General features: G+C 50.1%; 1 protein-coding gene across 4 annotated transcripts, besides 2 other annotated features; it reads right to left on the bottom strand.

The window, feature by feature from the left end:
• Positions 80 to 259: an enhancer, noted in NCBI's record as "active region_12120". NCBI's record gives its function as "activates an Ori minimal core promoter by ATAC-STARR-seq in GM12878 lymphoblastoid cells {active_cell/tissue: GM12878}" and the evidence as "EXISTENCE:reporter gene assay evidence [ECO:0000049][PMID:35858748]".
• Positions 681 to 1,880: an enhancer, noted in NCBI's record as "P300/CBP strongly-dependent group 1 enhancer chr17:38134870-38136069 (GRCh37/hg19 assembly coordinates)". NCBI's record gives its function as "activates an origin of replication core promoter dependent on BRD2, BRD4, P300/CBP, MED14 and CDK7 cofactors, with strong dependence on P300/CBP, by STARR-seq in HCT116 cells {active_cell/tissue: HCT116}" and the evidence as "EXISTENCE:reporter gene assay evidence [ECO:0000049][PMID:35650434]".
• GSDMA (gasdermin A) lies at positions 2,729 to 17,493 on the bottom strand. 4 transcript variants are annotated; one of them, NM_178171.5, is made up of 12 exons: positions 17,412 to 17,493; positions 14,596 to 14,814; positions 14,060 to 14,237; positions 9,850 to 10,015; positions 8,877 to 8,973; positions 8,321 to 8,368; positions 7,884 to 7,910; positions 6,667 to 6,687; positions 6,070 to 6,224; positions 5,483 to 5,597; positions 4,500 to 4,573; positions 2,729 to 3,681 (listed from the first exon to the last, which is right to left on the bottom strand). In NM_178171.5, exons 2-12 carry the CDS (start codon positions 14,807 to 14,809, stop codon positions 3,439 to 3,441), a joined length of 1,338 nt encoding a protein of 445 aa, NP_835465.2. In that variant the 5' UTR covers positions 14,810 to 14,814; positions 17,412 to 17,493; the 3' UTR covers positions 2,729 to 3,438. The 4 variants fall into 4 exon arrangements, with proteins under 4 accessions (NP_835465.2, XP_006721895.1, XP_016879991.1 ...); XM_006721832.4 differs by lacking the exon at positions 17,412 to 17,493 and adding an exon at positions 14,909 to 14,971; XM_017024502.3 differs by lacking the exon at positions 7,884 to 7,910.
• Between the last annotated feature and the right edge of the window lie 5,687 nt (positions 17,494 to 23,180).

Here is a 23,180-nt window from a genome sequence, read left to right as displayed (position 1 = left end):
GCGGGTTTTGCGCCCAAGTTCGCTCAATTTTCCCCGGTCGCGGCGGGGTCTCCTTCCAGATCCGCTGGGCTTGTGCTCAACGGCTGCCGGGCGCATCCGGCAGGAGGGAAGGAAAGAAGGCTGTGAAGGAGGGACGTGAAGCTAGGGCTGTTGGCCTTAAAATAAACCGAACTGGAGAGTAGGAAGAACCCTATGGGATCCGGACTTCCTTGGTTAGATTTGAGTTTAGTGCTGAACATAAGGCATACAATTTCTGCAGGCTGGGAGTGCCGATAGGTAGGAGCGTGCATTTGCGTAGAATCACTCCAGTTTAACAAAATATAGGGGTCCACCCTATGTACGGCCCACGGTTAGCAAATAGGGGGGTGAAAAACAGCTCAAGAATGTAGTATACGGGGGAGTCAGATGGTTAGATAAGCAGACACTGTGCTCTGGGCTGCGGTGGATTGGGAGTGTTGAGGAAAGAGGGTGGGAGCCCCTACTGGCAGACGCTTTAGGGAGCCCATTGAGAGGGCTTTTATACATCCAGACAGACATTGTGAAATGGGGAACAGAATAATGGTGTGCCTAAGGAGAGAATGATGGTTTACTTAGTGGTGTACCTAAGGGGAAGCAAATTGGACAAGAAACCCTACCCACTTATTTTTCAAAGGACTGCCCCACTGGTTCTGCAGGGAAGGTGAAACAAGGTGAAGGATATAGCTCCCAATTTCTTAGAACACACAACAAAAACTCTCTCCCTACCTTGAAACTTTTCTCTCTCCCATAAGTGGAAGTCCTGAGTTTTAGACCTTTCACGGACCCTACAAGACAATCTAGCCCTGTTGTAAGGACCTAGAAGGCAGGAAATATGTTTTGACCTCCTCCTTTGCATATATAAAGGGTATCCTGCATATCTTTTGCATCCTCTTTCATAGGATTGCAGGATGTTCCTTGCGTTAAACAGCCACTCGCTAACTGGAAAGATATGTGCTCTAGTTTTAGGGAACATGCCTTGACCAGTTCCTCCTCAACTGTCCTCTCACCCTCCAGGGCTGGGGGGTGGATAACAGGACTTTTGAATCATCATTGGAATAAACTCATTAGAACCTCTTCATAACACCATATCTGCAACTGAAGGTGGGCGAGAATGGTAAGGAAGAAAACAGATGAGTTATGTTCATCCTTAACAATCAAAGGAGTTACTCTTCTAGATAGTTAGGGTGTTAGCTCATCTCTCTATTAAGTTTACATCACAAGGAGAAAACAACCAAGTCAGCAGATAACAACCCAGTATATCCATGAGCAATAGAGTGAGGCTTTGGAAGGTGCTCAGGATCAGGGAGGCTGGCGGCATAACACAAAGCTTCTGGCAGTTGGTCATGAATTCTTGGTGGATGAGGGAACCAGGCTGGGCAGGGGGTGACTAAGACACTGGGGGAGAGTCTGACTCCACGGACCAAAATCCTTAGAGAAATTCTTCCACTCATAAAACTTTTTTTTTTTTTTAAACGGAATCTCGTTCTGTTGGCCAGGCTAGGGAGTACAGTGTCGTGATCTTGGCTCACTGCAACCTCCCCCTCTGGGGTTCAAGCGATTCTCCTGCCTCCTTCTCCTGAGTAGCTGGGACTACAGGTGCGAGCCACCATGTCCAGCTAATTTTTAATTTTTTTTTTTTTAATTTTTAGTAGAGACAGGGCTTCACTATGTTGATTAGGCTGGTCTTGAACTCCTGACCTCAGGTGATCCTCCTGCCTCGGCCTTGCAAAGTGCTGGGATTACAGACATGTACTGCACTCATAGAACTACTTTTTTAAAAATTATTTTTATTTTTTGAGACAGGATCTCGCTCCATCACCCAAGCTGGAGTGCAGTGGTGCTATCTTGGCTAACTGCAGCCTCAGCCTCCCAGGCTCAAGTGATCCTCTAACCTCAGCCTCCCGAGTAGCTGGGACCACAGACACATGCCACCATGCCTGGCTAATTTTTGGTATATTTTGTAGAGATAGGGTTTCGCCCTGTTGCCCAGGCTGGTCTTGAACTCCTGGATTCAAGCGATCTGCCCACATTAGCCTCCCAAAGTGCTGGGATTACAGGCGTGAGCTACGGTGTCCGGTCCTGATACTGCTTTAAAAGAGGTTGGTGAAAGATGTTCAAACCCAGCTTTTAGGCAGAGGAGGATGATATAAACCCAGCGGTTTGATGAGATTGTAATATCCATATTAGTAGTAATATGCCAAGCCTACCCACACTACTTCCTCCTACAAGAACCCTAAATTTCAGGGCAGAACAGAGAAAGGTGAAATAATATCACAATTTAGTTTTTAAAGTTTTGGGTTAGTCTTATTCTTGGGTCCCCCTTTTTTTTAAAGGCCCATCTGCATTTTCTGTTCAATAAATTTGAAATCTGTCTTATTTTTGTTTCGGGCTTCTACTATATATCTCTCGGTCTTTCCCTCAACCCAGAGCTAGGGGACTCCCAAATGCTCTTCTTTGAAGACAAACTGCTTTGATATCTTCTCACTTGAGACTCTAGATTCCATTAAAGAAAACTAATTGAACAGAAAAAAAAATCTGGATTCCACATTCTATACCCTCTGAGCATTTTCCAGTTTGCCTGAGGACAGTACAGCATCATATTCATGTACATATGATTTATATGCAGTATGATAACAATTTCTTTTTCTGGCACAAATTAAGAATTTCTGTATGATAAATTCTTTAAAGAAAAACACCAAAAGACATATCATTCCTAAGATTGACATAATATTTTCCATTAATTCCAGTAAAGCTTGTTTTTTGGGGAAGTATAAGTAGGAGGGATTAGGATAGGAAATTAATTAATCTTCTTTTTTTCTCAGTTTTGCTGAAACGGCTCATAGTTTTAAAAGTCTGAGTGCTTCTACTCCTAGAATATTTAAGCACAGGCCGGGCACGGTGGCTCACGCCTGTAATCCCAGCACTTTGGGAGGCCGAGGCGGGCAGATCACTTGAGGCCAGGAGTTCGAGACCAACCTGGGCAACATGGTGAAACCCCGTCTCTACTAAAAATACAAAAATTAGCTGGGTGTCGTGGCACGTGCCTGTAATTCCAGCTGCTCGAGAGGCTGAGGCAGGAGAATTGCTTGAACCTGGGAGGCGGAGGTTGCAGTGAGCCAAGATCAAGCCACTGCACTCCAGCCTGGGTGACAGAGTGAGCCTCCATCTCAAAAAAAAAAAAAAAAAGAAAAGAAAAGTAAAGAAAATTTAAGCATCAGCAGATGGGCTTAGTGGGTTGCGGAGCTGGAGGGGTAGGGGGTGATATATGGTTGGGCAGGTGGAAGTTGGTTATCATGGGTGACCAGCTGAGATTTCAGATGTCTTCAGCTGATGGCTCTGAAATGCCCTTAGGTGGTAAGGACACAGCACCACGAGGTTGGGAAGGCATTAGGGAGTCATGAAGCAGACGTAAAAGGCAAATTAGGAGGCCTTGGTAAGCTGCTGAAGGAGAGAGAGGCCTGCATAAAGAGCACAGAGGCGAGGGAGGGTGTCTGGGTCCCACATATATTGGGGGCCCGATCTCTGCACTTCCAGGCCACTCAGCCCGACTAGAGCCTCCGTGAGGGTCAGCTCCTCGTCCCCAAGGGAGGAGAGCAGCTCAGGTTGCAGGGGGAAAACACCCTCTTTATCCAGCAGGAAGTTCTGTTCCATCGTGCTCTCCACCTGGAGGGAATCAAAACAGCATGAAAAGAAAGAACTGGAAACCTCTCTCCTCTCCTAACTCACAAAAATCACAAGAAGGTTACATTCCCCTTATTAGAATTCCTTACTTTACCTTACATTACAACCCCATCTGGGTCTTTGAACAGCCCTATACAGTGGGCAGCACATTGATTTTTAGCCCCATTTTACAGAGGAATAAATTGAGACAGACTCAGACACAGTAAAAAATTTGCTCACAGGCCAGGCGAGGTGGCTCACACCTGTAATCCCAGCACTTTGGGAGGCTGAGGTGGGCAGATCACCTGAGGTCAGGAGTTTGAGACCAGCCTGGCCAACATGGTGAAACCCTGTCTCTACTAAAAATACAAAATTAGCAGGGTGTGGTGGTGGGCGCCTGTAATCCCAGCTACTCGGGAGGCTGAGGCAGGAGAATCGCTTGAACCCGGGAGGCGGAGGTTGTGGTGAGCCAAGATCGCACCATTGCACTCCAGCCTGGGCAAAAAGAGTGAAACTCTATCTCAAAAAAAAAAAAAAAAAAATTTGCTTACAATATTTGGCTAGGAATAAGCAAAGCCACAGTTTCTGTCTCTTCTCCCAAGATCAGGCTAATAAACCCAGATTATTGCCCAGAAATTCAGTCTTCTACCTCTTGTGAAATAACAAAAAATGAGAAATAGAGAGAGAAAGGAGGAGTGGGCATAAGCCCCTGGGATAAGACAGGGATCCTCCAGAATGGCTCCATCCTTAGGCGAAATCTGCATCTCCACTGGCTGCAGCTACTCCCAGACTCTCCCCAGCATCTGCTGTTTTTCCCTCACCAGCTTTAGCTGCACGGGTAGGATCTTTTTCTCCATGGATTTCACCAGCAGCTTCTGTTGGGCTTCACTTAGCTCTGGAGAAAAAAAGCAGAGAAAGATGTGTGTTGCTGGTGCAGAGGGGACTACAGCCTCCAAATAGCGCACTTCCAGAATTTCAGCCTTCATTCATTGGATGTAATTACAACGCAGGTGTTAAGGGAGCCATAGCTGAGGGGTCCACTTTGGTCTTGGAGTCGGAGGGCAGGCTTCCTAAGGGAACAAACGTTTTGGCTTACACCTGAAGGACCACAGAGTTTTTCTAAGTGGAAAACTAGAAAATGTGGAGGGAAGAAGAGCTCTTAGGGGCAAGATAAGAAAATGTTACTCCCTGAAGTTAAAGCTAACAGGTATCAGGATAGAAGTGATGAGCTTAGCTATATGCAGAAATTTTAAATATGTTGCTGATAAAACTAGGGTTATTCAACCTCTATTAGCAAGACTAGGCTGTCTTCTCAGACTACCCAATGTGACCAAGCAAATCCTTAGGAATGAAACCAATTTTTTTTTTTTTTGATGGAGTCTCGCTCTGTTGCCCAGGCTGGAGTGCAATGGAGTGATCTCGGCTCACTGCACCCTCCCCCTCCTGGGTTCAAGCGATTCTCCTGCCTTAGCCTTCAGAGTAGCTGGGATTACAGGCACCTGCCACCACGCCCGGCTAATTTTTCTATTTTTGGAAGAGGCGGGGTTTCACCATGTTGGCCAGGCTGATCTCGAACTCTTGATCACGGGTGATCCATCCACCTTGGCCTCCCAAAGTGCTGGGATTACAGGCATGAGCCACTGCAGCCAGCCATGAAACCAATTTATAAAAATGTAGATATAAACTACTTAACTGTGGTATAATTTGTCATTCATTCATTTATTCATCCATTTGGGAATTGATTCAAGTGATTCATTCCTATTACTGAAAAGGTCTATAAATGAAGACCTTATTCCCCACTTACCTGTTAGGGCTCCAACGAAATAGAGGATGGCGCCCACGGCCTCCTTTGATAGCAGGACATCTTTTGGGAGTGCCTCCAGGGTCACTTCATGTCCCTTGTCTAGAGCCCCTTCAAGCTGTGGGGGAAGGTGGGCGACTATTGAAGATAACATAGGAAAGGGCCCAACCCAGGGCCCAGCACATAATAACCCCTTGACATGCGGAAACTCTCTCCATTTCCTGATTTCTTTTTCGAGGCCTCATGTCCTGAAGAGTACTGGACTCCTGGGTTCCTTGTTTCCTGAGTTTTGGACTCTGGAAAGAGAAGGTTCCAGCCCCTCCAGCAGAAGTCCCTTCTGGCCATCAGAGGGAGCATGTGCCTTGGGGGAACCCACTGTTTGCCCTTTTCCAGGGGACAAAGGGAGGAGCAGTGGCCTGGCAGCCTTGGGGCACGTGGCCAGCCTTGGGGAAGGTATCTAAGGTGGACTCCCCTGGCCACCCACCTCCTGCCCCCGTCAGATCTCCCTACCTGCTGCAATACCCGCCCCCACCAAATCTTCACCAAAACATGCCTTCTCCCACCCTTCCCCACTTCCACTAGGTCCTCACTGCGAGCTCAAGGTCTTGTAGCTCCTTTTTCTTCCCTAGAAGTTTGCTGAGGGAGCTGAGCAGGGAGCTTTGCCCTACTCGGCTCAGCTTCTCCACTTGTTGGGTCTCTCTCTGAACTTCTTCTTTTAGTGTCCTGAAGCCTTCGTGTACGTCCCCTATGGGGACAATAATGGGACACACAGCCCTCCATCGGGCACCTTCCTCTCCAGTCAGCATTCCCCCTGCAGGGCTCCTACACTCAGCCCCCTTTAGGTACCCATGCTCTACCCCCCAGTTTGAGCCTGGCCCCATTTTTCTTTACCAAGGAATGCGGTGACAGAACTATCCACCAACCCTAACCTGAGGGTTGGGGCGAGAAGGTGGGCCAGGATGCATGTATCATCTAACCCAACAGTTAATCTTCCTGAGATCCCAGGCCTTATCCCATATCAGTACACACTTGACTTTTCTTTGAGACTCCAGCAAAAAGTGGAGAAAGAAAGTCTGTTTTCCCTTCCCATGAGTTAGCTGACAAAGAATGACTTCGCCTTCTCCTCTCTCTGCCCCTAATGCTACCTCCATGCCAAAGTCTTGGGAGAAACTCACAAAGTTCCTTACCAACATCAGATGCCTGGATAACTGAGAAAAAAAGGAAAAAAAAAAGATAAGAATGCAATCCTTCAGAATGGCAGCCATACCCAGGGGTTGAGACACTAAGGAAGATGAGGAAATACATCCTGCCTGTCTCCTGGGAGAGCCCAGCTACCTTGTTCCTGGCATTACTGTGACTCAGTGGCTCTGGCCCCAGTTGCTGGGCGGCCGAGTTGCAGATGTGTGTGTAGCAGGTTATAGCTACTAAGACTCTTAATTTTTTTTTTTTTTTTCTAGGCCAGGCTCAGTGGCTCACACCTGTGATCCCAGCACTTTGGGAGGCCAAGGTGGGAGGATCACCTGAGGTCAGGAGTTTGAGACCAGCCTGGCCAACATGGTGAAACCCCATCTATACTAAAAATTCGCCGAGTGTGGTGGCCCGCGCCTGTTATCCTAGCTACTCAGGAGGCTGAGGCACAAGAATTGCTTGAACCTGGGAGGCAGAGTTTGCAGTGAGTGGAGATCTCACCTTTGCACTCCAGTCTGGGCAACAGAATGAGACTCTGTCTCAAGAAAAAAAAAAAAGGCCAGGCGCCGTGGCTCACGCCTGTAATCCCAATACTTTGGGAGGCTGAGGTGGGTGGATCACCTGAGGTCAGGAGTTCAAGACCTGCCTGACCAACATGGTGAAACCCCATCTCTACTAAAAATACAAAAAATTAGCAGGGCATGGTGGCGGGTGCCTGTAATCCCAGCTACTCCGGAGGCTGAGGCAGGAGAATCACTTGAACCGGGGAGGTGGAGGTTGCAGTGGACTGAGATTGCGCCACTACACTCCAGCCTGGGCAACAAGAGTGAAACTCCATCCAAAAAAAAATTTTTTTTTTTAAATAGAGACATTGTCTCACTATGTTGCCCAGGCTGGTCTTGAACTCCTGAGCTCAAGGGATCCTCCTGCCTCAGCCTCCCAAAGTGCTGGGATTATAGGTGTGAATCACTGTGCCTGGCTGCTAGTAAGGCTGTTGAGGACAAAGGTCTCAGGCGTCAGACCACCTGGGCAAAGACTCCCCCCTTTCCACTGCTTTTTCCCAAGCTATTGGAATTTCTGCCATGTTTCGGGGACAATTATTTGCTGAGATTCGCTCTGCTATTTCCCTGTCAGTCCTGTCAGAAGGAAAGAAAAAGACTGGAGTTTTAAAATTTGGAGTCAAGAAAGTTTCAGTGGAATGAAAGGAAACACTTACGGATGACCTTCTCCTCTCCTGACTTTTCTGAAGACAGAAAAAATGCACATCTGTCAGCACAAAACCCATTTTTGCCTTTTCATCTAAAACAGTCTTCAAGGCAGTTTCATCAGTGATCATTATAAAAACACAGGGAGATTATGCTAGCTCATCCACCCCCATGATTCGGGAACACACTCAGTCTCCAAGTCTTACTTCTGCTTCTGACTGTGCCTTCCGGTCTCTGTCTGTCAGTTTCTATATCTCTCTGGGACAGTATTTATATGCCTCTATCTGTCTTTCTAAAGTTGAGGCTAGGTATTCTTAGGGACTTGGGAAACAAAAGCAGAGGCTCCTTGGGGGATTATAGTATAAGCTAGGAGAGGGTGGAGGATTTTGGCAGATAATGTCAGGGGTAGGGCGGAAGATGTGGGAAGCCCGTAAGCAATTTCACTTACCTCCAGGAGGGAAGGTTTGCATGTTATCATTGCAGATATGTGGAATATCTGTGAAGGGCAAGGGAGGGAGGGTGGGAGGACACTTAGCAGCTGCCCCACATTCCCTTCTTCAGTCTCAAGCCAAAGGGCTCTGCTAAGGGCTAGGACCTTGCACCCCAAATGCTTCATTTAATTCCCAGCTTCAACCTCCATTGCTGGAAGCAATCTTTTCTTCCTTGATAAATTCTCTACTATGAGAACACTACTTTCTATCATCCATTCCAGTCTCTGTCTGTTTCCTCCTTTGGCCACAGACTTCTTGAGAGCAGAGGCAGTGCATGTTCATATTTGTACCCCCTCCCCCAATAACCACAGTGCCCAGCACCCAGAAGATGCTCAGAATCCAGGAGCCTCTTCACCCTTCTCTCCAGAGCAGGCTCCATGGCTGCAGTCGGATCACAGTACAATACACCCCCCTACTCATTCTCTGACATTTCCGCAAGAGGGGACCAGGGTGCCTCAGTACTGGTGCAGGTAATTCTCATCTTGTGGGGAGAACATGCGGGTCTCTGCTCACCCCACTCATCTTTGCCTTTGACCATCAGCTGTCTCACTCGAAAGGCCAGGACGCAGCCCTTGGGGATGGTTACAGCCTCCTTGTGATTTATGGATCCCTAGAATTAGACAATGAGAATTTGTGAATCTCTGGACATCTTAAGTATGAGATATTGGGAGCGTGAGTTGGGGGAGGTGCAGGGTCAGGGCTGAGAGCCTTCAGGGAGATAAGAAGCTGGAAGCCTTCAGTGGTGTCCCTGGTCTGGACTCTGAGGAAGGACTTCAAAGTCCTTGTGCTCATTTCTGCTGATTTTCCCTCTAGTGACCTGGTTCAGGTCAGTAGAGTCTAGTCAGGTCAGTTCTAGTTCCTGGTTCAGATGCATGAAGGGAACTGGGCAGACCTGCTCCATCTCCTGCCTGTACATCACCCTAGAGCTTCCATCCAAGCCCTGGCTCCTTCTTCCTCTTCACCATCTGTCCCATGCTTACCTCTTTCAGGACGCCTTCCATGACTAACCCCTACTCCTGGCTCCAAATCCCAAATCATCCCTTGAATATTTAGATGCAATAGATAGAGGTATGGAGACCATTCCTTATTTCCATTGGCTTTTCCAAGCCTGTGTTCTCTGGGCTTTAGCCTCTGTGTCTCCTCTATGAACCTGATGACTTTCCGAGAGTAAAGATGTCTCCTCTTTGGAATGGGAGCACCACGAGGGAAAACCCAGGAATGTGACTTTCCCCTTCCCCAGTAGTTCCCTGTGGCATCTGGCGCAGGGATCTGCCCTCACTGGGTGCCACTGACCAGGGAGGGGGCATATGTCTGGGGTTTGGATCTTTAAGAGCCGGGGGAAGGAGTGGCCCTTTTCAGCATCCTCGGTGGGCGCTGATCAGGCAAAGCTAATGAAGCCTCCAAGGAGGGGCTGAATGTAAATGTGTATGTGTGAGTGTGAGTGTGAGAGTGTGTGTGTGTGTGTGTGTGTGTGTTTGAATCAAACCTGTAGCCCCAATGGGGCGAAGAAGGGGAGGGAGAAGCAGGCCTCTGCCTTGCCGGCTCGCTCCAGTGTGACCTCCTGCACCGTCTCCACCACCTCCATCACCACATACAGGTTCTCCCCTTGATCTTGCATCTCCTTCAGGAATGGGTGGTCTGCTGCCAGCTTCCTGTTGCAGGAGAAACATAAGGGAACCGTTCAGAGCTCCTTCCTGCCTGTACCACACCCTCCTCTTTCCTTCTGTCATTCCCAGGAACTAGACATTGTGGTGGCAGGGAAGGAGTGAGGACTCTGGACTAGGGCTGAGGTTGAAACCCAGATCTCATGCTTACTGGCAGGGCAGCTTCTCTGAGTCTTAATTGCCTCATCTATGAAATGAGTATAATGATGCTGACCTCCTGGGTTGCTCAGAGATAAACTCGGTAATTGGGCCAGCACCTGGCCAGGAACAGGGCCTCTTGGGTGCTTCTTACCCCCTTTTCCTCCAGTTCGGGGGTAGATGCTCCCCCCCTCTTTCCTCCCCATTCATCTCTCTGGGATCCCGGGGGTAGATGCTCCCCCCCTCTTTCCTCCCCATTCATCTCTCTGGGATCCTTTCTCTCCACATCTTATGCTCTCTCTTGCTGTTAACACCAGTTCCTCCTCTCCACTTGCTCCTTCTGTCTGCTTCCATATATAAACTCCCTAATCCTAACAAATTTGTTTGCTTTGATCATGCCACTCCCTCAAATTACTACCCTATTTTTTCCTTCATTTCATTGGCAAATATATCAAAAAAATTCTTTTTTTTTTTGAGACGGAGTCTCACTCACTCTGTCACCCAGGCTGGAGTGCAGTGGCACGATCTTGGCTCACTACAACCTCTGCCTCCCGGGTTCAAGCGATTCTTCTCCCTCAGCCTCCTGAATAGCTGGGATTACAGATGTGAGCCACCATGCCCGGTCCACCTAAATTCTTTATAATTTGCCTTGTATTTCCACTACTCAGCTGAAATTACAATGATCTCTTACCTGTCAGTCTCAATGACCTCGCCTAACTCTGTGCAATACTCGATCCTGCTGTGGAAACCCTCCGTGCAACGCTGGCTTCTCTTGGCTTCCAGTCACAGTGTACCACCCTGGCTCAACTCCAGTACTTCTAGTTCCTAAATCTTATCCATTCTGTCTGCACCTCATTTTCCAGTTTCTTTGGTTCTCTAAAATTTTATGTTCTGTAAGATTCTGTTCTCAGTCCTGTTTTCTCAACTCCCTCTAAAAGCTCCCCACACCCAACTCACTCCTATAGTTTTTTCTTTTTTTTTTTTTTTAAGGTCCCACTCTGTTGCCCAGGCTGAAGTGCAGTGGCTCGATCATAACTCACTGCAGACTTGAGCTCTTGGGCTTAAGTGATCCCCTTGCCTCAACCTCCTGAGTAGCTGGGACTCTAGGCGCACCACCATGCCCGGCTAATATTGCGTTTTTTGTGGAGATGGGGGTTTCACTCTCTTGCCCAGGCTGGTTTGAACTCCTGGGCTCAAGCAATCCTGCCTTGGCTTCCCAAAGTGCTGGGCTTACGGGAGTGAGACTCCTCCCCTGGCTCCTACAGTTTTAATCTTTATAGTGCTGATTACCTTGTGTGTATCTTCACTTTGACCTCTTTCCTGAGCTCCAGGCCCTTATTTCCAATCACCTGTTCAACATGCTCAGCTGATGTCTCAGCAGAACCAGAAACTCAAAACATCCAAAAGGAACTCACAATCTCCAAATCTACCTCTAACCTGTGTCTTCCTGTTTGTCACCTGTAATGGTAGCTTTAATGTCCTATAATGTCACAACCTGGGTAAAATCTCGCAGTCACCTTTGACAAAACCCTTTCCCTCATCCTGCAATCAGCTACCAAGCCCAGGCCATTCTATCACCGTTGGCAATGGGCATTGCATCCATTCCTCCCTCTTCACTCCTCTTGCCCTTCCCCAGCTCGGGTCCTCAGTTTTCGTTGCTCATGGGATAGAAGAACAGTGTCTTGGCTGGGGGTGGTGGCTCACGCCTGTAATCCCAGCACTTTGGGAGGCCGAGGTAGGCGGATCACCTGAGGTCAGGAGTTCGAGACCAGCCTGGCCAACATGGTAAAACCCCATCTCTTCCAAAAATACAAAAATTAGCTGGATGTAGTGGCGTGCGCCTGCAATCCCAGCTACTCAGGAGGCTGAGGCAGGAGGACTGCTTGAACCTGGGAAGCGGAGGTTGCAGTGACCTGGTATCGTGTCACTGCACTCCAGCCTGTGCAACAGAGAGAGACTCCGTCTCAAAAAAAAAAAAAAAAAAAAAAAAAAGACCGGGCTCAGTGGCTCACGCCTGTAATCCCAGCACTTTTGGGGGCTGAGGCAGGCGGATCACCTCAGGTCAGGAGTACAAGACCAGCCTGACTAACATGGTGAAACCCCATCTCTACTAATAATACAAAAATTAGCCGGGTGTGGTGGCTCACGAGCCACCTTACCTCCTTCTTTCAACCACTACTTAACTGGGATTACTTCCCTGTAATCCCAGAACTTTGGGAGGCCGAGGCGGACAGATCACAAAGTCAGGAGTTCGAGATCAGCCTAGCCAATATGGTGAAACTCCGTCTCTACTAAAAATATAAAAAATTAGCTGGGTGTGGTGACAGACACCTGTAGTCCCAGCTACTTGAGAGGCTGAGGCTGGATAATTGCTTGAACCCAGGAGGCGGAGTTTGCAGTGAGCTGAGATCGTGCCACTGCACTCCAGCCTGGGCGACAGAGCGAGACTCCATCTCAAAATAAATAAATAAATAAAATAAATAAATAAAAAATTATCCGGGCGTAGTGGCGGGCACCTGTAAACCCAGCTACTCGTGAGGCTGAGGCAGGAGAATTGCTTGAACCTGGGAGGCGGAGGTTGCGGTGAGCCAAGATTGCACCACTGCACTCCAGCCTGGGCAACAAGAGCGAAAAACTGTTTCAAACAAAAAAAGAAGAAAAGTGTCTTGCCTTGTCTGACTGCTTCAAACCCCTGTTCCTCTTCCCCTATCTGACACACTTCCTCCATCTGGCTGGATTAGTCATGGGACACATCAGAACATTTTCAGGATCTTCCTGGTGCCTACAATTCAGTCTCCTGGAGCTGCCACTTGCCTCTTCCATGGTTTGGGTTCACCTGCATTTCCTGCTCGTTCTACTCGCACCTCTTCCGCCCCTGCTATGCTGGCTGTTCCTGGCCCTTGGTGGTTTTGAGATTGCTCACCTGTGTGCCTTCATAATACCCTTCTCCCAGCCCTGCATGCCCAATTTCTGCTCATCTTTCAAGGCCCAAAACAGAGGCTGCCATGTCTGTGAGATCTTCCCTTATTTCCCCAGCCAGAAGTCCCTTTGACCTGCCACAAGACTCAGTCAAACCATCCCTACAGCACTTAGCACTTCTTGGCTTTGATTATAATTACTGTTGCACAGGTTTTTAAAATTTTCACCTTCCTAGACTGCAAGGTTCTTGGACAAAGATGTTCTAGGCGCACCCCAGCCCGTAGTAGAGTGCTTTACTATATACATGCTTGCTGGATGACTACCCCAGCCTTTCCTTCTGGCCTTCACAGTCCTTACCTCCTTCTTTCAACCACTACTTAACTACTTAAAAGTCAGTTCCCGTGTCAAGCCAAACATCCGGTGGTGCCCAGCATCAATGTGGCACCTGCCACACCCTTTGTGCTGTGGGGCAGCATTCCCGAGGGCGTGCTTAGTGTGTATTGGGGTCAGGCAGGAGGCTTCATTTATGGGAGCAGAACACAGTGCTCAGGTCTCAGCTGGGGGCAGTTAAGACACATCCCTCCTTTTTCTAGTGTATTGCATAGTCTTAGAGTTAGAAGGAGCCTTAGAGATGATCATTCAATCCTGTCATTTTGCAGAAAAGAAAACTGAGGTCCCAAGAGAAGTGACTTTTCCAAGATCACACAGCAAGCTAGTGTGGACATCATCTTCCCTGTGCATGCGTGACAGTGGGGAGGTGGTCCTGGAGACGGTGGCAGCAGCGGGAGGTGTGACTAGGAAATGGCCTGGATGCAGCCATGGGCCAGAAGGGTTGCCTCCAAGAGCTCCCCTGTCATGACCACATTGGCAAAGGTCAGTGCAAGGGTCCTACCTTTCAGCTCAAGGCCCCAAGCACCATTTCCATGCACTGCCCCACCCACATCCCGGGAGACCCTCAGTCCCGCCCACTCTCACCTCTCCTGCACGGTCTCCAGGGCCTTGGGAGCCACACTGAGTGTCTGGACCTCCAGAGTGCTGTTCTGCGAGAGCCCTGCCGTTCCCTTCACCTTCACCGTCTTTGGTACATCCACATCTCCCTCCACTCGGGTGTCCAGCATATTCTTAAAGCCAAAATTCCCAGTGTCTGTTGGGTCTGCAGGAGGGAAAAGACAAAAGGGGCTGGGCTGGCTGGGTGCAGTAACTCATGCCTGTAATCCCAGCATTTTGGGAGGCCAAGGTGGAAGGATTGCTTGAGCCCAGGAGTTTGAAACCAGCCTGGGCAACAAAGCAAGAACCCATCTCTACAAAAACAAACAAGTAAATAAATAAAAGAGGCTGAGCTGAGAGGTATCCCCCCGACCACCAGCCTCCTCAGCTCCTGATGATGACTTTGGGCTAGATGACATCTAATCACCTCTGGCCAGAGGGAGCTTTGAGGTCCTCCTTGCAGGCCAGGTGCCCAGCCCCTGTCCCTCAGTATCCCTCAGTTCCCAGCCCCGCTTGAGGCTGACCTGAAGGTGAGCTGCCGGGCTCAAGCACATCCAGCAGCGTGTAGTCGGTGCGGACGTACCGGGCCCCCCAGAAGAGCGTGCTCTTCCTCTTCCTCAGCACCAGGCAGAAGGGATGGAAGCGCTTGAAGTCGATGAGGCTGTCAAGTGGTGTCAGGTCCCCTCGAGGGTTTAGCTGTCTGGCCAGGGCCCGGGTGACATTTTCAAACATGGTCATTGTCTCTGTGGAGGTGGGGAGACAGGAGAGTGTCAAGGTGGCTGCCAAGGCTGCCAAGGAGCCCGGGATATAGGCTGGGCCCCTGCAGAGAGAGTTTACCCGGCTCTGAGGCAGGAGGAGCTCTTAGAGATGCCTGGATTGTCTCATGTCACAGCTGGAAAGAATCAAGGGAGTCTGCATTTTATGATGAGGAACCTAGGGCTGGAGAGTTGAAAGAGTTGCCCCAAAGTCCCACAGATGGCCAGCAAAGCCACACCTCCCTTTTCTTTGTCAAGGGCATTTTTCTCACTCCACGCTCATTTTCTTCACTGCCACGGAGCCCAGCTGGAGCACTTCTTTTCTTTCTTTTCTTTTTCTTTCTTTCTTTCTTTCTTTATTTATTTCTCTTTCTTTCTTTCTTTCCTTCCTTCCTTCCTTCTTTCTTTCTCTCCCTCCCTCCCTTTCTTCCTTCCTTCCTTCTTTCTTTCTTTCCTCTTTCTTTCTTCCCCCTCTCCCTTCCTTCCTTCCTTCCCTTCCTTCCTTCCCTCCACCTCGCCTTTCCTTGCTTTGCTTTCTTCTCTTTTCTTCCGAGACAGGGTCTTACTCTGTTGCCCAGGTTGGAGTGCAGTGGCGTGATCACAGCTCACTGCAGCCTTGACCGCCAAGGCTTAATTGATCCTCCCACTTCAGCCTCCTGAGTAGCTGGGACTGCAGTCATGCACTTGGCTAATTTTTAAATTTTTTTTGTAGAGACAGAGTCTCACTATGTTTCCCAGGCTGGTCTCAAACTCCTGGCTCAAGTGATCCTCCCACCTCAGCCTCCCGAAGTGCTGGGATTACAGGTGTGAGCCACTGCGCCTGGTCTAGAGCATTTATTTAGCAATGGAAGTAAAGCTTTCTCTCACACCAGAGACTAGCAATAGCCAGAGTCGGAGGACACCAGGGGAGGGAAGGAGATGCTGCTGGCAACAAGAGCCTGGGTGGCCAAGCTGTTCACCTGCCCCAGTTGCCCTTTCCATGTGTGGGTTACACTTCCCTGCACCCTGTCCTTCCCTCATGCGTGCCACAGGTATGAGTACACCCACTCCCCTCTCACAGCCCCTGGGGGATGCCTGGATCCAGACTTTTTTTTTTCTTTTTGAGATGGAGTCTTACTCTGTTGCCCAGGGTGGAGTGCAGTGGTGCCATCTCGGCTCCCTGCAGTCTCCACCTCTCAGATTCAAGCGATTCTCCTGCCTCAGCCTCCCGAGTAGCTGGGACTGCAGGTGTGTGCCACCACGCCTGGCTAATTTTTGTATTTTTAATGGAGACAGGGTTTCACCATGTTGGTCAGGCTGGTCTCGAACTCCTGACCTCAAATGATCCGCCCTCCTTGACCTCCCAAAGTACTGTGATTACAGGTGTGAGCCTCTGTGCCCAGCCAGGATCCAGGCATTTTGATGCTCTTCACCTTTGCCCCCTCTGCTTACAATACCCGCTTCCGGATCTGAAGACTCCCTAGTCCTCCGCTAATGCTCAATTCAGGTCACCTCCTGGAACCTCTTCCCTCAGTCCTCCAGGCAGCTGGTGACTGTATCTGTGTTTCCAAAGCGCTCTTCTGATGCACCTTCCTTTGTTATGATCTGTTCACCTGACCCTATCAGCAACTCGTCTGTGACTTCCCAGAGGGCAGGAAATGGGTCTTAGTCACCTCTGCAGCAGCAAGTACCACACCTGGCACAGAGTTCGAGCTTGGCAAATGTGTGTGGAAAGAACCAATGAATGTGGCCCTGAGAGATGTGCGCTAGGATGAGAGGGCCCTGGAGAATGTGGGGCCCATGGGAACCTGAGAGGCAACATTTTTTTTTTCTTTTTGAGATGGAGTTTCATTCTTGTTGCCCAGGCTGGAGTGCAATGGCATGATCTCGGCTCACTGCAACCTCCATCTCCTGGGTTCAAGTGATTCTCCTGCCTCAGTCTCCCAGGTAGCTGGGATTACAGGCGCCTGCCACCATGCCCAGCTAATTTTTGTGTTTTTAGTAGAGACGGTGTTTCACCATGTTGGCCAGGCTGGTCTTGAACTCCTGACCTCAGGTGATCCGCCCATCTCACCCTCCCAAAGTGCTGGGATTACAGGTGTGAGCCACCGCACCTGACCTGAGGGTCAACATCTTAAGTCTCTGTCTTTGAAGTTTGAGTCCAGGTGCTCTGGCTGGGTGGCCGATCGGCACACCCCAGTTATCCCCGTGGGTGGAAGAGGCCACACCAGCTGGCTTGGAAGCATCCCACATCCACCACAGGCACTTCACAGCAGCAGGGGGGGCAGGAAGCACGGCACAGATGCGTGGGGCTGTTCTGCCAGCTTCAAGGTGCTTTTTTTTTTTCACCCTCATTCCTGGGAGGGCCAGGATGGGGCAGGACAACCTCCTGGTGCTACCTGGGTGCACCTGGGAAGGGCTTGGGCAACAGCAGCCTCCTCTTCACCAGAGAGATGTCCACAGGCCTGCCTCTCCCTTCCCTCCCCAAGGCCTATCGGGATACTTATCCCACTGGACTCTAGGGGAGTTCCATTCCCTTCTTGGTCCACCCATCTTCCTGTGTCCTCAGAGCACCCCTGCCTTCCCTGCTGTCATCAAGTTCTTACCTGGGAGCGGGGCTGGGTCCTATCCAGCAGCTGGGTCTGGGGTGAGGGCCTAGGGCTCACTGGGTCTGTAGGTTGAGAGGATGACCATCCCTTGCCAGGACAGGCTGCTTTATGCAGGGACAGAGGCTTCCGGGGACCCCGCCTGCCCTAGTGACCCCACCCCCCTCCCACTCCACTTCCTGGAGAACAACATCAACCTGTTCCACGTGTGCCCTGGCCTCCTGAGGGCTGAGGGGGTGGATAGGGAGCTGCCAGGCAGGTGCCAGCGTGGGTGGGGGTAGCCAAGGCTGATAGAGAGGTGGCAGCTGGAGGTTGGCTTGTGGATTGAGAGGAGAGGAAGGCAGGTGCCTTTGGGAGGGGTGCAGAGGGAGGCAGTGGGAGTGTGTGTGTGTGTGTGTGTGTGTGTGTGACCAGGGATGGCATCTCTGTTCTGTCATCATCACCGTCATTGGGGAGCATCTCGGATTCATGGTGGGGGTCTGCGGGTGTCCTGGGATAGGGATTCCTGTATGTCCACACATTCCAGTAGAGAGCAGAGCATCTGCAGTGCCGCCCTCCATCCTGGGCTTGTCAGCCTGTGTGTATTGCTGCCTTACTCCATTTGTTTTAGCTACATAGACATAACTCTGATACCGCTAGAAGCAGATGTCTGAGTAGGCAGAGATGGAGTTAGACCAAATGGGTTTGTGTTGTTTAGTGTTCAGCGTCTCTGCTTCTCACAGAATATTGTATACACACATCAGCATATCCGTAGGCAGGGGCACGGCGATATTCATGGAAAAGCCCAGGAGGCTTGTCGTGGGCTTTCAGATGTTGCACCAGAGGTCACTCAGGTCCTCCTCTTAGCTTAAATCTCTGCCTAGAAGGAATTTTAAAGGAATTTCAAATGTTGCCTACATGGTCACATTGCTAGAGGACAGAATAAGGGACTTACAAGCAAGGCCCTTACAGTGTTGGGCCATGTGGCCATGCATATGTGCAGGTATAACCTGACACAGCAGAGCCTTCCTGCTCCCACCTTGAGGCTCTTCTTAGTACCACTCATGGAAAAAGAAACGCAACCCTGAATGCTGTGAAGAGTAAATTCCATCTTTTTTTTTTTTGAGAAGGAGTCTCGCTCTGTCCTCCAGGCTGGAGTGCAGCGGTGCAATCTCAGCTCACTGCAACTTCCACCTCCCGGGTTCAAACAGTTCTCTGCCTCAGCCTCCCGAGTAGCTGGGATTACAGGCATGCACCACCATGCCTGGCTAGTTTTGTATTTTTATTAGAGACGGGGTTTCGCCATGTTGGCCAGGAGGGTCTTGATCTCCTGACCTCATGATCCGCCCGCCTCGGCCTCCCAAAGTGCTGGGATTACAGGATGAGCCACTGCGCCCGGCCAATTCCATCTTTACTGAACGTTTCCTTGAGGGGCTGATGGTGAATGAGACTAGACCATTCCACACTTAGGAAAACTCCCTAAAATAGTCATTACTCCACTTGTGTCCCCAAAGTCTCATTCAATATGACAGATGCTCCCAAATATCTCTTCTCTATGTCTTGAAACAGAACAAAGCCAAGCCTTGCCTCTGCCTCTCTGGTCCCTGCTCACTCTCTTTTTCTTTACATACTTTCCCATCCACCCTACACCTTTTTGAGACGGGGCCTCGCTCTGTCACCCAGGCTGGAGCGCAGTGGCTTGATCATGGCTCACTGCAGCCACCCAATACTTCATCCTCCTTCCACAGCTCCAGCCATTCCAGCAATCAAATGTCCCTTCTCCTTAGGAGAGGCAGAGGTGGGGGCTTGAGTGTGTGGGAAGGTTGTCGTTAGGCTGGGTGCGGTGGTTCACGGCTGTAATTCCAGCACTTTGGGAGGCAGAAGTGGGTGGATCACCTGAGGTCAGGAGTTCGAGACCAGCCTGGCCAACATGAGGGAAACACCATCTCTACCAAAACTGCAAAAATTAGCTGGGCGTGGTGGCAGGTGCCTGTAATCCCAGCTACTTGGGAGGCTGAGGCAGGAGAATCACTTGAACCCGGGAGGTGGAGGTTGCAGTGAGCCGAGATCGTGCCACTGCATGCCAGGCTGGGCGACAGAGCAAGACTCCGATTCAAAAAAAAAAAAAAGAAAAAGAAAAAAAAGGTTGTCGTTAGTCATCTGGTCCCTATCACAAGCACATATTTACATAGAAACCTGCTGTGTGTGTTATAGTCCTTTCATCTCTGTCTGTTTTCCTGGATTTCCACCTCTTCCTCCTTGTATCTCTCAGCCACTACACTGACGTGATGCCTGCATTTCAGCATATAGTCCTGAGGCTGTGCAGTCTCCTTATGCCTTAATCAGCTCCAGGGAAGATAGTCCCACTCCCACCCTCTCACCAGCCTAGCATTGCCTCGGTCAGACTTTTGGGAGTTTCTTCCCAGTGACTACCCTTCTCCCACTGGCTGCAGGCCAAGGTTCCTAGTTTAGTGGATTCTGCAAAGATCTGGAGAACAGTGGCATCTAAAAGCCACACGTGGCTCTGCTCTCCCCAAGGACCTGCAAAGCCCATCTAGTCAGCTTTCTCTCCTCTGACCGGGAAGTCTTGCTTCTCTCATTTCTCCCGCCTTCAGTCTGATCTCAGAGCACTCTGCCGGGCCTGTCCTCACACTCCTGGTGTCGTCCCGACCCTGCCTGCACCACATTGTCCCATTCCCTCAGACTGCCTACTGGTATTCCAAGCAGGGGGCTTGGTGAGTTCAAGGCAGGGAGGAGATATATGGGCTTGTGGGGTCAGCCAGGTTGAAGTTCTTGTGCTTTTGGAATGAAAATATCCACATTTAGGCTTGTCTTGGTGGTGCTCCTTCCTCCCATCCAGGGTGCCCTGCCTCTTTTTCTTTCTTTTCTTTTTTTTTTTTTTGAGATGGAGCCTCACTCTGTCTCCCAGGCTGGAGGGCAGTGGTGTAATCTCGGCTCACTGCAACCTCCGCCTCCTGGGTTCAAGCAATTCTCCTACCTCAGCCTCCCGAGTAGCTGGGTTACAAGCACATGCCACCGCTCCCAACTAATTTTTGTATTTTTAGTAAAGACGGGGTTTCAACCCTGTTCGCCAGGCTGGTCTCGAACTCCTGACCTCAGGTGATCCACCCACCTCGGCCTCTGAAGGTGCTGGGATTACAAGCGTGAGCTACCGTGCCCAGCTGCGTCTTTTTCTTTTCTTTCTTTCTTTCTGTTTTTTTTTTTTTTTGAGACAGGTTCTCACTCTGTTGCCCAGGCTGGAGTGCAGTGGTGCAGTCATGGCTCACTGCAGCCTTGACTTCCTGGGCTAAAGGGATTCTCTCATCTCAGTGCCCGCTCCCTGCTCCCAGTACCTGGAACTATAGGCATGTGTCACCACACCTGGCTTTTTTTTTTTTTTTTTTGAGATGGAGTCTTGCTCTTATCGCCCAGGCTGGAGTGCAATGGCACAATATTGGCTCACTGCAACCTCCGCCTCCCGGGTTCAAGCGATTCTCCTACCTCAGCCTCCAAAATAGCTGGGATTACAGGCACGCACCACCACGCTTGGCTAATTTTTTGTATTTTTAGTAAAGACGGGGTTTCACCATGTTAGCCAGGATGGTCTCGATCTCCTGACCTCGTGATCTGCCCGCCTCGGCCTCCCAAAGTGCTAGGATTACAGGCTTGAGCCACTGCGCCCGGCCATGCCTGGCTCACTTTTTAATTTTTTGTAGAGAAGGGAGTCTCCCTATGTTGCTCAGGCTGATCTTGAACTCCTAGGCTCAAGCAGTCCTCCTGCCTCGGTCTCCCAAAGTGCTGGGGTTACAGGCGTGAGCCACTGCGCCCGGCCTGGGGCAGAATTTAAATTGTACTGGCGGATATTTAAGTTAGACTGCCTTGTAAGGACGCTTCAGGTCAATTAAAAGAGACAATAAGGAAGCAGGACCTGGTCATGCGGTGAGTGCTGCTCAGGCAGGCGGTAAACTTTGCTCTCTACCTCCCTCTGGTGGTCAATTAAGGTAGTGATGGACAATGATCACCTCTGATTTAGAGACCAAGCTTGTGACTATGTAGGGTTGTTAGGAGACAGGGATCAGGAGAGAGAATTGATTTAGGAGAGGAAGCCCCAGGCACCTGCCCCGTGGGACCATTGCTGTCTCTCTGACCCATAGAGTGCACTGCAGACAGACACAGTCATTGGGACAGGGCATTATTTCCTTACTCATTTTCCCTTTTGTTATTGTTTTTGTTGTTGTTTTTTGAGACCGAGCCTCACACTATTGCTGGCTGGAGTGCAGTGGCACAATCTCGGTTCACTGCAACCTCCGCCTCCCAGGTTCAAGTGATTCTCCTGCCTCAGCCTCCCGAGTACCTGGGACTACAGGTGCGCACCACCACACCGGGCTATTTTTTGTGTTTTTAGTAGAGGCAAAGTTTCACCACATTGGCCAGGCTGGTCTCGAACTCCTGGCCTCAAGTGATACACCCACCTTGGCCTCCCAAATTGCTGGGATTACAGGTGTGATCCACTGTGCCTGGCCTCCTTTTTATTATTGTTGATTTCCCCCTCAGCATGGGGTCAGAGAAAACAGAGAAAAGTAGATTATGGGCGTTCATGGAAGTCACAAACTCTGGCCAGAATGGGAAGAAGCTGGCACCCTGCGAGTTGGGAGGGCAAGGAGAATGTTGTAGGATTTGGAGCCTACTTGAAGGGTGCAGGATAACTGGAGCATTTGCAAGAAGTGATCCCTCACATGAACATATTCCCAGACCTGCCCTGAACAAAAGGAGGTGGAATGGTAATGGTTAGGGATGAAGACAGGCTGGGCTGGGGCATGACTGCCTGGTGGAGGCGCAGGAATAATGCTTCCTAGGGATGCTGTGTTTTATCTCTCATATGGGAGGTTGGATGTTTGGGGGTGCAGATCATAGATTGTGAGCTATACTTCCATAAATTCTCCTTTCTGAACAGAGTAAAGCTCCCATACTCTTTCCTTATTCTCTAAAAAGCTTTAATGTTTCTTCCCAAATTCCCAAATCAGCTTTGGAGTCCAAGACCTCCCCAGACTCTGGCTGAACAGACATCAGTGTTCAGCTCTAAGTGTGTCAAACTCAGCATCCAGCTTCAAGGTGTCAGCCCTCACTGCCCCCACCCCTCCACTGCCAATCCCCCTACCCATCAGCCCTGTCTGGGCAAGGAGGCCACTGCCAGCCTCCAGCCCAAACCCAGAGAACTCTCTTCTGTCAGGTGATCCTCCCAGCAACCCACCTCTTCCTGAGCCCCTGCTGATGCACGGGAGCATGTGTTGGAGCTTTTCTGTATTTTTTTTTCTTTTTCTTTCTTTTTTTTTTGAGATTGAGTTTCGCTCTTGTTGTTCAGGCTGGAGTGCCAATCTTGGCTCACTGCAAACTCCGCCCCCCGGGTTCAAGCGATTCTCCTGCCTCAGCCTCCCGAGTAGCTGGGATTGCAGATGCGCGACACCACACCCGAATAATTGTTGCATTTTCAGTATAGATGGGGTTTCACCATGTTGGCCAGGCTGGTCTCGAACTCCTGACCTCAGGTGATCCACCCACCTCGGCCTTCCAAAGTGCTGGGATTATAGGCATGAGCCACCGCGCCCGGCCACTATTCTGTATTTTCACCAGCTCCCCTAGGCTTGTCCTCAAGCCCCATCCTGCCTTCCCTAGCCATGGGCGGGCAGGGCTGGGGATCCCTGATGAATAAAATATCTGGAGAGCCAAGTGTTGTTGGCCAGCACCCGAAAGATGGAGAGGCTGGCTTACAGGACACAGAGCAGTGTCAAG

The sequence above is a fragment of the Homo sapiens genome, chromosome 17 (assembly GCF_000001405.40).
Source record: "Homo sapiens chromosome 17, GRCh38.p14 Primary Assembly".
Lineage (NCBI taxonomy): Eukaryota > Metazoa > Chordata > Mammalia > Primates > Hominidae > Homo > Homo sapiens.
This window is presented reverse-complemented; position numbering and strand designations above follow the sequence as displayed.